The 13,991-nt window shown below is 35.3% G+C and overlaps 1 protein-coding gene and 1 long non-coding RNA gene across 6 annotated transcripts in view; both read right to left on the reverse strand.

Annotated features, from left to right (window-relative positions):
• Window positions 1–13,991, reverse strand: part of LSAMP (limbic system associated membrane protein) — a 643,114-nt gene that overhangs the window by 366,803 nt on the left and 262,320 nt on the right. The gene's annotated exons all lie outside the window — the stretch shown is intronic.
• On the reverse strand, window positions 1,608–10,351 carry LOC105374052 (uncharacterized). Of its 2 annotated transcripts, none has more exons than XR_001740858.2 (2): window positions 9,980–10,351; window positions 1,608–1,745 (listed from the first exon to the last, which is right to left on the reverse strand). It is a non-coding gene; the product is annotated as an uncharacterized LOC105374052 (long non-coding RNA). The 2 variants fall into 2 exon arrangements; XR_007096009.1 differs by having other exon boundaries at window positions 1,608–9,852.

Genomic DNA, 13,991 nt, shown 5'->3' on the forward strand with positions numbered 1-13,991 from the left:
CTGAGTGACAGATTGAGACCCTGTCTCTCACGATAATAGATAAATAAATAGCTCTGCTCTCTACTGTTGGGAGTCAGGATAAGGCATATGGGGGGAAAAAAAGCAAGGAACACCAAAACTTAAATTGCTTTTCTCCCAAAATGGCTGTAGTGAATCTAGAAGTGGAACAGTTGTGCTTGAGGACCTGTTTCTGTTTTCTAGTTCACATCCTGACCAGAGAAAAAAGTGGGAAGATAGGCTTAGGAAAGGGATGAGCACATGTGCTAAGGTATCCATCATAGGTTAAGCTTCCAGAGCCTGCTTCCCTCCCATTCACATTCTTCTTCCTTTCTTCTTCACATTATGAAGGATGTAGCAGTGAACAATACACAGCCCTACGACTGTGTTCAGAAGGTCCAAAGCCCAGCAATGCCAACAGAACAATCCCCATTCCTCACAGAGAAAGCCATCACTGTTTGTAAGGCAGGCCTTCTAAAAATTAAGCTCATTTTATAAATTCTTCATTTTAAAGCCACACCCTCCAAAGACAACCTTATTTTCTTAAATTCATTTCATTCTTTGTAGAAACAGAAGAATTATTGAATTTTTCAGCTGGGAGTATTTCTTAAATCTAATTGACTTTTCTCGCCACTCATGCTGTTGATTACTGACAGCGGGTCTTGTGAAAATTGAGTCATTCATTTTTGATGCCTACCATTCAGGAAACTTTTAAAACAAGTGGGCATGAGTGTGAGAAAGGCCTGTGACTCTTGTTACAGGCTGTAAACACCAGTGATGGGCACTAACAATTTCCAGCGAATTAACGAGCTTAAACCTCACCTATGATAAATCATAATCATACACCCAGCTAGCTTTCTTGATAATTATTAATCTATATATTGTGCTTGTCTGTGTACTTTGCTTTAGTGTTTAGATTTTTAAGATGCCAACATTTTTTTAAGTTGCTCTTCAATAAGGCAATGTGGTACAAGCCTCTATGTATAAGATTAGACATAACTAAATAAAATTCAATTTGGAAATTTTTTTCCAATCTGCATCCAAAGCAAGAAAAAAGTAACGAAGAAGTCACAATGCCTATCAATTGCCTTGGCTTGTTTTATAAGCCAATCGGAGGAAGCCAGTATTTTTTATTTAATCTAATTGCTTAGTGGCATAAGATAGCAGAATATATATAATGTACTCGCTTTGTGGCTACTCTGTGAAAATTTAACAACTGAAAACATCCAGATTTTATAATTACCTTTCATATTATAAGAAGTAAAATTTGTTTTGTATAACAGGCACTGGATAAAAAAGTTATTATTATGAGATTATGTTTATAATTGGGAAAATAGACATAGTTGTGGAGAGTGTTTAAGAACATGTGTTATAAGAGCTAGCATACCAGCCTCTGACATTACTTGCTATACGATTGTGGCGAATTAGTTAACTTTTCTAACCCTCAGTCTGGAAAGGGGTATAATAACAACGATTTTAGGTTGGAAGGTTATATAAGACACTACATGTAGCACACCTGCTATGTGAGAAGCAGTGAAATTAGCATTCAATATATTAATAACTACTTGGATGATTTTGGCTATAAAAGAAGAGAACATCCTGACTCAAACTGATTTACACAATGAAGACTTTTATTATCTCACATAATAAGAGGTACACAAGTTGGGCAGGCTCCAGGGTTGTGTGTCTGACCATTACTTTGCTGTCTCTGTGGTTCCTGGCTCTTCTTTCTCTATGTTCGTTCAATCCTGAGGTGCAAGAAAACCGAGAAATTTTCAACAGTTTATTTTTCTCATATCTCATGGACAAGAATTGGGTTGTATGCAGGTTAATATAGTGCTAAAAGCATGAAAACTGGAATAAGATGACTTGAGTTTGAATTCCAGCATTGTGCATCAGAACTATTTAACTTTGGGCTTTGCTTTATTTCTCTGTGCTTCAAATTCCTTATCTATAAATGGAGGTCATAATATTGCATTCCACATTGGATTGTTGTGATGATTACATGGGTTAATACAAATCATGTGCTTAGAACAGTAGCTGGCACATAGAAAATGTTTAACAAGCATTTGATTTTTACATTCTATACCAATTGCTGAGAAGGGGAATAGGATTACTATTATTGGTTTGGATTAATAAGACTATATTAGCTAGAGATGAGATCACATTTCATTGAATCATGCAGGAATATAGAAACCTCACAACAAAATTGAGTTATATTAAATAGAAAACCAAGTCTGATCACTACACTCAAAGTATTATCACTCTTACTACTGCTCCTATTATCTTAATACCATCATCATGTTACCTCCACAAATAACAATCAAATGACAGAACAACTGTAGGTGGCCCTACCTGATTTTTTTAAATCTGATAATCTGAACCATGAACATATTTTTGCCAGCAAGTATTTGGGCAAATAAAAGCACAACTTCTTATCACCCATAATATCAATAAAATAGGATTTTATTTTGGCCTTGAGTCATCTCTAAATCCAAAGAATCCAGAATCTCTGGGCCCTTCTGTCCTCTGAGAAGCCATCATCCATGGGACCCTAGTAAGGTGAAGTTTTGACAAAAGGAAACTATAAGAGATTGGAGTATAAGGAGCAGGTGGAGAAGAGAGGATCAACTTTTAGACAGGAGCAAAAGAGACCATTTATTTATCTCTATCTCTTTGGAGTTCAAACAGTGACCAGTTCATTGTGGTTCCTCAAAAAATGACTGATCGATAAAAGGAAGACTGAATAGGCATGCATGGATCCTTCATGGGGTGAGCATCCATTCACTCAAAAACTTTTTATTTACATACAATAAAATTACTTATTTTAGTGCACAATTTTATTGGTTTTGATGAATGCACAGTCATGTAACCACCAACACTATAAAAACAGAATAGTTTTATTGACCTTCTTCCAAAAGGTTAAATAAATAAATAAATTTATATATTTAATAAATATCAATTGAGCTTCTAGATCATGTCAGGTACTGAGTAAGTGTCTATGTACAGATTAATGATTAAAAAAATGACTGCTGGCCATGCGCCAATTACAGATAATAGTTTATATGTAGTTTATATGTTCACAACCGTCTATAATCTGACAGCAAAAAGGGTTAAAATTTTACCAGAGAATTGGTAAGAAGTAAAACTGGATCAATTTCATTATTTTAAGGCTTTCCTTTTTTTTTTTTTTACTTGAAAGCTGTTAAGTTCTTTTACCGTAATTGTCAGTGTCTCTTACTTCTTCTGGGGTTGAGAATATCTATAGACGCTCAATATAAATATCTGGAATTTGTTACTGGGGCTTCCCCAACAACTAATATTTTTTGCTTTAGCTTGTGATAGAGCATAAAAAATGCAGTAGGGACAAAGGCAACTTCAAACCTAGATTTAAGAGCATTTGAAAACTCCCAAGAAAGATGGTAGCAATGTTGTTGAGAGGATAAGGGATAGAAATATAAGCACCTAGTTTCTCTCAATTCTTCTCTCAAGAAGGACTGCTTTCAGAATCATGTTGTTGAGAGGATGTGGGATAGAAATATAAGCACCTAATTTCTCTCAATTCTTCTCTCAAGAAGGACTGCTTTCAGAATCATTAGTGTAATGGATGTTTAGTGTCATGATTCAAGTTTTGCTTGATAACCTAAAGGTAAGGGTTGGTTCACTTATATTGGCATTGTTGAGTGAAGTGTTTCTTTCCCCTCTTCATGACAGGAAACATAACAGTTTCCACATCGACAATGGCTACTGGGAAAGAGGATGGGAAATGATAGAATGAGAGAAAAAAAAGAGTCCCACCTTCTCAAATAAAACACAGAGCTGAGTAAATTGTAAATAGTGCTATCCACTAAATTCTCAAAAATCTTAAGATCGACTTATTTCAACATACATGAATGTTATGATAACTAAAAGAACAAGGTTAGTGTTCTTCCTATGGTCAAAGTCCTTTATGGTTATGGGTAACTTGCACATCCCTGCAATCTTAACACAAAAATGGAGCTGAGTACAGAACTGTCATTCAATAAATGTTGGATGAATAAGTGACAAAAAAGGAGGCAGGTTAGCTGTCCTGGATGCAAGCATGGGCCTCTTGTAACAAAGCAGACCTCTATTTGGGTAAATCCCACTACATTTGTTTTAATTGCTTCATCTAAATGTTGGTGCAACAGAATATGATATAGACCATGGCCTTTTCAGTTTGCCAATTAAATGGCTGAACACTGACCAACTTGGGGATAACAAAGATCCATTAGAAAAACACTAATAGTAACTCTAGAATTTATAATCCAGTGGCAAATGCCCACTAATAATTCAGGAGTTAAAAAATGTGTAAATCATTTTCTGTCACCTTCTGTTACCACTTTCTTTATAGTAGGGATAGGACCATTAAAAATGGAAAATATATGTGTGCAAACCTATACACATACTAGGTTTCTATTATGTGTATAATACTGCTTTGGCATTAAATATTTTGAAACCCCAGAAATTTGAATCAGTGGAATATAGAAGAATTACAAAGGCAAGTGCTTTAATTGAAGATGAGCGAGAGCATATTTAACATTTTATGTCCTGCCATAATAGAAGAAATAGAAGAAGAGGGGAAAACATTTTTTTTTTTTTTTTTAACAATTGGGAAAGCAATCTCCAGTTTCTCTTGCCTTCTTCCTCTTCTTCCATCTCTCCTTGTTCCGAAGATGCATTTCACACAGTTACCATTGTTATTGGACAATCTATTTCCTATCCCTTTTGAAAAAGTATCCAGCACTTTGATTAAACAGCTTTTGGTCCTCACATTCCTATACTTTTCAACTCTGACAGTTTAATTTCCAGACTCAGAACTTTTCCAAATCAGAAAATGCCAGATTTGTGCATTGTCACAGGTAAAAATCAAAGCAGCCTCATTTATTTCCAAAGGCTGTTTAGCTGCCTTTGGACATTTTTAATATTATGACCCAAAAGATTATTTCTATAGCTTATAGCTGCAGTATGAGCTGCCACTGCAATTAGTTCTTATAAACTTCCCAAGACAACAATAACAACCAACACTGTTATGACTATTGATAATGACACCTTGCTTTTTTATGGTGCCTTTTATGTGAGCTGATCCCAAAATATTCTGCAAGCCATATTCTTGGGTATCACTTCACCCATCTTTGGGAAGCAGCCGCCATAGGGTAATAAGTAATAGCTGTTTAACACAGCACTGGCCTACCAAACACCACATTAAGACTATTATTCTCTCTTGAAATCTCGAAACAGATATTATAAAAATAGCAATCATAATAGCTATGTCTTTTATTGTGCTCATTCTTTTGGCCTACTCATGGACCAGAGGCATTTTTCAGTAAAGAAAACTGATAACTTCGCTAAAAAGCACCCAAAGAATTAGCCTATAAAACTACTGCTCATCAAATCTAGCCATATTTTATATTTGTCCCTTCTCCTTCACTTCAACCAGAAGACTAAGCAACTTATTACCTCATAGGGTGATTTTTGTGACCGTCTTTCAGCTGACTTTCTTATCGCTGTGCTCTTCCTCTCTACATAGCTAAGTCCATCTCACAAAACAATACTCACTCAATCCAAATCATGGACAATGACTCTCTGCCGTCTACCACATCATATACAAACTCCATCAATTTCCCTTCAAAATCACCCACCATTTAGCCTATCCACCACTCTCTTTTCCATCCTTGTCTTTGAACCTGGCTATATGTGTGACCCTTTGCTTCAGTTCATTTCCTATCGCCTGTCCTTATTCTTTTGTGTCTCACTTTTGTGCACTGGCTTATGCCGACTTCTCCACTATCCACCTTCTCAAATGTCTCCTCCATCAATATGAGGACAAGTCTAAACTGTAAGAATTCTTCTTTAATAAATATATTCACCACTGGAATTGTTCTTTAACTTACATGAAGAGCCTTTACTCACAGTATATAACACTCATCCTGAGACAGCTAGGTTTATTGTTCTTTAGTTATTTTTTTAGGTTAAACTATTCAAAATATTTTTTTAGACTATTCTCTGCAAGGCCAAGGGTTTGCTTGCTTTCTTCTTTTTCTTTCTTTGGGAAATAAACTTTTTCATTTTTAAAAATTCTTAAATTGACATATAATAGTTGTACATATTTATGTTACATATAATGTATAGTGATCAGATCAATGTAATTAGCAAGTCCATTATCTCAAATATTTATTATTTCTTTGTGTTGGGAACAGTCAATATCCTCCTTCCAGCTATTTGAAACAATGGAATATATTATTGTTAACTATAGTCGTCCTACAATGGTATAGAACACTATAACTTATTTGTCCTATCTAGTTGTATCCTGCTTTGATTTAACCTAAACATCCAGAGCAGTGCTGGGAAGCCAGGAAGTATAAATATCAATAAACATTGATATCAATCAATAAACATTGATTCAATGTAGGAGAGGTGTACACCCAAGGAAAGTGACGAGGAAGCAGATCTATGGAAGCACATACCCATACCCACATTAAATCATACATATTTATATCTTATAATCTTTCCCTTTTTTTTCTTAAAAAAAGAGACTGGGTCAAAGTGAGTGTCATATGGGTATAAGTAGATATATTTGCAGGATGATTTGTGAAAAAGACATTTCTATGCTAAGAAGCAGAGCCAAAGTTTCTGGTACTTTCAGTACAATGCAGAGAACACTGCTAATGGTTATAGTAAATCCAATGAAAACTCACACTGAAGGATATGAAAGCCTAACACCCAAAGGCAAACTTATTTTTCTGTTTATAAAATTGCATCCTTGTGCAATAACACAGAATCGTAAAAATTAAGAAGTAGAGGAGCTTTGGAGGTCACCCAATTTAACACTTTACTTGATATATACAGTCCTGACACAATATCCCTGGTAAGAATAGTCTTCTACCTTGACAGAGCTTGGCATGAGGCTCAAAAATACCTGCAATAGTTCAGTCATTATCCTCACTCATAGAGCCAGAAATGCAGAAATATAACTGGCAATTTCAGACACTTTATGGAGTACTCTATATGTGTAAAGAATTGCACCAGAAGCAGTAGAAAATGGAGGATTTCATGAATTTATAAAAAATAACCTCTGCTATCAAAAGAGGTAGGGAGGTATTAGCTTGCAAGAAAAACAGGGAAAAATAAAAGGGAAATTTTAAGTACAGTACTAGTACAGAAGTAACAATTCCATATTTAAAACTGGAACGCAAAGGACCATTGCCAAAGATTATTGCAAATGGAAGAGCAATTAGCACCATTCCATCATGTTGCCCTGCCTCAACCGCTGCCATGATCTTACTTGTCAAAGTAGTGAAAGGATGAAGCAACCAACTAAAGAAGCCAATAACTAAACAATCAACCAGGCAACCAAAGGTTCTTTGTTAGTGTCAGGAATGATGGGTATGAAAACACAAGCTCCATTAGATAATAAGGTACATAATGATGGGAACCATACCAAATTTTTGTTTGTTTGTTTAAACTAGTTGTTATAACTGGCATCATATCTAATATCTGGCACATGGAGAGACTCAGTAGATACTTACAGGAAAAAATAAATCCTGGGTCATTTTTTGAGGGGAAGTGGTGTGATTATCATATCAATAGGAACAGAAACCAGTAACATCTGGTCTACATAAGTGACTTTCAAATGGCATGAGCATTAAATAAAATGAGAAATAGGTGTTAAAAAGCTTCCAATAATCGAAGCGTTCTTTAAGGTTAGTATTAGGTTTCTATATCTTTCTATTTATCTTCTAACATAGTTAATTTCACTTTTTTTTTGTTAAGGTTTGAAAATTGTGGTGTTGTGTTTTTTCCAAAGTAAATCTTACTTGGAACCCAAGTTACATAATTAGATAAAAGCAAAGTTGGCAAAAGTAGTAGCTTTTCTTATAAGAAACATCTTGAGAGGTTTCTAATGAATGCTAGAAGTCCTTGGAATACAGTTTAAAAACCACTGCCCTGAGATTCAGTAAGTTCAGTAAGCATTACATACCTAAGGTGCAGTGCTTGTGTGCTTCTGTTAGGGCTTTATATAACACTGATTATAGGAAGGAACAATAATTTCCAAGGCTGACATCTCCGAATTGTAGTATGTCTCAGAGATTTAAGATAAGGAATACTTGGATCCTACATTTTATAAGTGACACAGGAAACTAGTCAAAATCAAACAAGAGACATCTTGCTGTGGTGGAAGTTAATAGGAATCTGTGTAATACAGAGCACATGAATACTCTACATAAGAAATCTCCCACAAGGCAAGCAGGATATAGGCTTCTTGAGATTCAATAAATGCAAAATAGGTTGGTAAGTTTTCACAATGTAGCCACAGATGTGATATATGCATTTTACAATGTGAAATGCCACATGTGAATAAACCAAAAGAGTGAAAACTTAAAAACTAAACTAAACTAACAAAATAATACAATAAAAATAATTCTTTTAAAATTATCCAAGGATGAGAAGTATAATCAACCTTGTGGAAAGTTTTAAAAATTAGTTTCATGAGAAAAAAAGTGAGGGGAGCTGGTATTTTTATCAGGTTTCTCTTGTGGCCTAGATGAGATTGCCGTCAAACTCAGGAAAAGTAGTCACCCCTTCATTTAGCATTTATTGAGCACCTACTATAGGGAATCACATCCTAGTTATTATGGGGATGAAGCAGTTAAAAAAATGTCCCTGACTTGTAAAAGCTCACAGTCTAAATGGAGAGAATTATGCTTCTATAAAACAGCTGCTAGGATATATGGCAGATTGTGCTAAATTCTATCAGAGATACTGGAGTTAAATCAATGGGCAGTCTTGAAAATTGAAAAGAGGAGCTTAGAGCTTAAATGATGAAATGAGAAAACACTGAAAGCAGGGTTAGTAGGTAATAATACCTGTCTTTGAGGGCTATTGCTCTGATAGTCTTGTGTACGTGTGTGTGTGTGTGTGTGTGTGTACATGTGTGCTTGCACATGAATACATATGCATGCAAAAGGGAAGAGACTTAATTTTTATTTATTTTGACAGGGTTTCGCTCTGTCACCCAGGCTGGAGTGTAATGGCACAATCTCAGCTTACTGCAACCTCTGCTTCCCAGTTTCAAGTGATTCTCCTGCCTCAGCCTCCCGAGAACCCGGGACTACAGGCACACGCCACCATGCTCGGCTAATTTTTTATATTTTTAGTAGAGATGGGGTTTTACCACGTTGGCCAGGCTGGTCTCGAACTCCTGACCTCAAGTGATCTGCCCACCTCATCCTCTCAAAGTGCTGGGATTACAGGCGTGAGCCACCACGCCCGGCCAAAAGAGATGAGATTTAAAGCAAGTACATCAGTTAGGAGGCAATGATAAATCTAAGCCTTAGTACCTAAACCAGCAACATACAGAGAGAGTAGAAGGCACAGTATGAAATAGAGGAAATATACTATGAATGCTAAGAAGGACTAGGATGGTTTAAGATATGTAGGTAACAGATAATCTGCACCTCTTTAAAAAAAGGCTACCAAACAAAGAAACAGATTCTTGTCACTTGGGAGCCCAAGATAAACCAAATCTATTTCTCATCTGGCTCTCTATCCCACCCTTCAAAACAGATAATAAAAATAAATAAATTTTAAAATTAAATAAAAGGAATTCAGCAGTCATTTGAGACAAAACTGGAAGTTCTATCTTGATAAAACTCCCTACCTGAAGTTCCTTTAGTGCTATATGATCTCACTGTCTTTTCTTTCCTCTTTCCTGCTCCTGTAGCAGTCTCAGTCTTTGGGATTTTATCAAATTGGGTTTTAATCACTTTACATTTCATGTGAAGATATTGTATCCCACTGCCTCTGCAATGGTCTCAGCTACCCAACTTTTACTACCTAAAAAAAAAAAATGCCTCTTAACAGCAGTGGCCTCCTCCTCCTTCCTGCAGGATAATCCCTATGATTGTGATGCAGTTTAAATTTCTCAAGAATATAATCAAACAGGGTGAAAACAAGGACTTACACACTAAGGCTTCTTTCTGTCTGCTTATGCTGCTTCCTGCTGTACTTCAGTCCCCACAAAACCCAAAAACCTTTGTAGACATCTGGAAACAGTTTCATCTGTGGTCACTTCCTCAAATAATTTCCCTGCTTAGAAAATAAACACACTAGTAAGATCACAGGACCACATAATTTCTGTACTCAAGCACTCCCCATTGGAGAATACCATCTATGCTTGATGGTTGCACATCAGAGGATGAATTTGGGTAGAGGGAAGTGGTTAGAGAGGGAATAATTGATTAGGTGAGTGTATCAGTCCCTTCTCATACTGCTATAAACAAATACACGAAACTGGGTAATTTATAAAGAGAAGAGGTTTACTTGGCTCACAGTTCTACAGACTGTACAGGAGCATAGCTGGGGAGGCCTCAGGAAACTTTCAATCATGCTGAAAGGGGAAGCAGGCATGTCTTACATGGCCGGAGCAGGAGGAAGAGAGTGAAGGGGGAGGTGATACACACCTTTAAACAACCAGATCTCATGAGAGCTCATTCACTGTCATGAGAACAGCAAGGGGAAAATCTGGCCCCATGATTGAATCAGCTCCCACCAGGCCCCTCTTCCAACACTGAGGATTACATTTTGACATGAAATTTGGGCAAGGATAAAAATCCAAACCATATCAGTGAGTATGTTAACAGTCCCCAAGAATATTAATGTCAGAAAATGTATCTAATTAATTGCTGCTAGAAAGAAATACTTTTGACCTCCTAGTCTTTTTAGTAGTTTTTGTTGTTGTTGTTAAATGGAATGTTTGTGCTTGGCCAAAGAAGTAGTATTTGTTCTAAGTACTTATAACATATTTATAATAGCATTATGACAAACAGCTTGGACTCAGATCTGGAGATGTTTGCTCATTTTCGTTCAATCATTTTTTCAAATTACAAATGTTTTTGAGATTATACTCATATACTTAGTCTCCAGAATGGCAGAGGTAATATGTACAATGAATATATGTCAGGTGCTATGCTTTGTCTTGGGGGTATATCCGTGCATTACATGAATACAGTCTCTGCTCTCATGGAACTTAGAGTTCAACTGAGGCAATGGACATTATTCAAATAACTGCTCAAATGAACATATAATTATAACTATAAAGGAAAGACACACAAAATACAAGATGCAATGAGAGTTCATTACCTGAATGTGGAGTTAGGAAGATTTGGATTTTTTTATCCCAGATTTTTTTTTTTTTATCATTTTTCTGTTAAAAGCTAGAGCATTATAAATGATATTAAACTAGTTAAATACCTGTTACGGTGAGGAAAAGAGCTGTTCCATAGGGAAGATTTCTGGGAGAGTGAAGAACATAGGTGGTGTGATTTGAAACGACTATTGGCTAATAGAAAAAGGTCACACAATTCTTCTTATGATGTAATAAATTGCTCTTTTTCAAGGTTGAGGAAGTAGAGGAATAAGAGAAAATGTGAAATATGCCTGTATTTGATGACCAATAGTTTTATAGGCTAATTATTTTGTTACATACAAAAGTTATGCTTTCTTTACTGAATTACATCTCTAGTTTATAAGTAGGGCAAAGCAACCAGCATAATACAAAATATAGCCATTATGATGGCTATTACTACAAAATTTTTCTAAAGTTTTGAGGAGATAATAATAACCTCAATGTAATGTTTTGCAGGCCGGTGCTGTGTTAAACAGCTGTCACTTTTTACCACAAAGATGGTTGTATCCTTAACATGGGTTAGGTGATTCCATGAATATGATTTGTAGAATATTGAGAGAGCTGCTGAAATAACAGCAGCATATGAGTGCTGCTGAAAGTTGGCCAAGAACAGTCCAAGATAATTTTCATAGTGTTTTGTACTCCAAGTGACTCTTTTAACCATTAGTTTTGCCCTGTATGTAGGAATTGTGCTTGGCCAAAGAAGTAGTATTTGTTTTAAGTACATATAACATCCTTATAATAGCATTATAACAAACATCTTGGAGTCAGATCTGGAGATGTTTGCTCATTTGGTCAATCATTTTTTCAAATGACAAATTTGAAAAATTCATACTTCATCCAGGTATAACTTAGTTGTAAAAATCACAACACTGCCAAACAATTCAAACACCTTTAGTTGAGTCATTATGTTTAAGCTTCTTTGATCCTTCCTTCTCTAGAGTTACACTAACATAGTAACAAAGGGCAGATTTACAGTCCAAACTGAAAAGTCATAATTCAACACATAATTCCTCAGTTGTCAGCCCCAAGTACAAGATTGATGATGAAGTTTTGAACTGACACAATTATTTTAAAAATACTTACTTCCAAATCTACACAGGAAGTTTATGTCTATAATGACTTAGGACATCCAAAATGAACCTATTTCCTAAGGAGGCACATCATTCACAGTATCAGAAACCCTTGCAAGTGTTGCATAATGATGACATCAATATAACTTATGCAAAGTAAAAGCGTTAAAACATTCCTAAATACTTAGCCTTTATATGTCCCCTTATTTTCACAAAGCACTTTCAGACAAATTATTGTTATTATTCATCACAATATCCTAAGATAGACAGCCATTATCATTCAGATACCACACTCCCATCTTCATTGCCACTGTGACCCAAGACTGATTTTCCAATCAGATGTCTACGCATCTGATTTCCTTACAATGAGATTTAAGAATTTAGATTTACAGATCCCATCACAGACTTGTTGAATGAAAATCTCTTTCGTGGGAATCAAGAATCTATATTTTGATAAAGATCACCCAGGTAACTGTGTTTCAGTCTATCCAATGATTGCATTTAGGAACCATTATTGTAGAACAGTCATGGAAGAAAACTTAAAGACAAAAAGACACAAGTTTTATTTAAAATGCATAGAACATGTTGTGTTTCAGTGTCAATGGGAATTGCTAGCCTGATCTGTGCAGATAGTCTCCAAATGTGTTATGTTTGAAAAGTTCTTTTAAATTAAAAGGACTAGAAATCATTCTCCCATGGAAATAACTTGGTAGGTACTGGTAGATTCCAAGAGCATTCATGACACCTCTGTAGCAAATGATGCAGCCAAATAATAATGCTATGAAGAACTATTTCAGTTATTCCTAAGGTTCTTTTCAGAAAATACATTTTCTACAGTAAAATAGATACCATATTTTAGAAATTAGTTACCTCATTTATTTCTTTATAAAAACATTGGATTTTTAAATTAAATATATATTGAACTTATATATATATAGAAATATATATACAAGATGGTGAACAAAATAGAAATAGTCTAGCACTCATGAAACTTAGAGCCTAATCTAGAAGTCTGCCAATTAAAACAAGCAATTAGAGCATCATGAGTGCTATGACAAGATGCTATGGAGATGCCCAAAGATGGGACTCAATTTTTTCAGGGTAGGTGTTTACATGTGGGTGAAGAAGGGGTAGATGAAAGGTTAAAGAAGATAAGAAGACTGTCTAGAGAAAATCTTTCCTAATATTTCTAAACAGAATGGAGAAAAGGCAATAAAGAATCACCTGTTTTTTTGATATTGTTGTTGCTTGCTTGTTTTTTTGGTAGAGATGTCTGATTCCCATAACAGACCTACAGAATCTGAATTTTAGGAGAGAGTTGATCCTGGTAATGTATATTTTTGTACATTCTCATAATAGATATATTTCTTGAGTTTTTATTTTATAGTAACCTTTGTGCTATATATTGGTAATACACAGATAAAAGTCCAAATTTTGCCATCACAATGACTATTGTAGATTTGCTGAGAGATATCTGTAAACAAAGAACATGGGGTGGAGTTGAAGCTTAGGTCTAATTGCTGGTCTCTGTTTACACCTGCATAACATGTAATAAATATTCCTTTGATCAGTATCTCCTTTGAGTTTTCAAATTTGGCCTTATTGATAGATTTTGACTTTAGGCATATGCAGGCTATTAGTTTTGATACACATTGAAGCAGAGAATTATCCATATGTGACCTCTAGAGACAGAATGATTGAAGTGATGGGGATAA

Source organism: Homo sapiens, chromosome 3 (assembly GCF_000001405.40).
Source record: "Homo sapiens chromosome 3, GRCh38.p14 Primary Assembly".
NCBI classification, from domain to species: domain Eukaryota; kingdom Metazoa; phylum Chordata; class Mammalia; order Primates; family Hominidae; genus Homo; species Homo sapiens.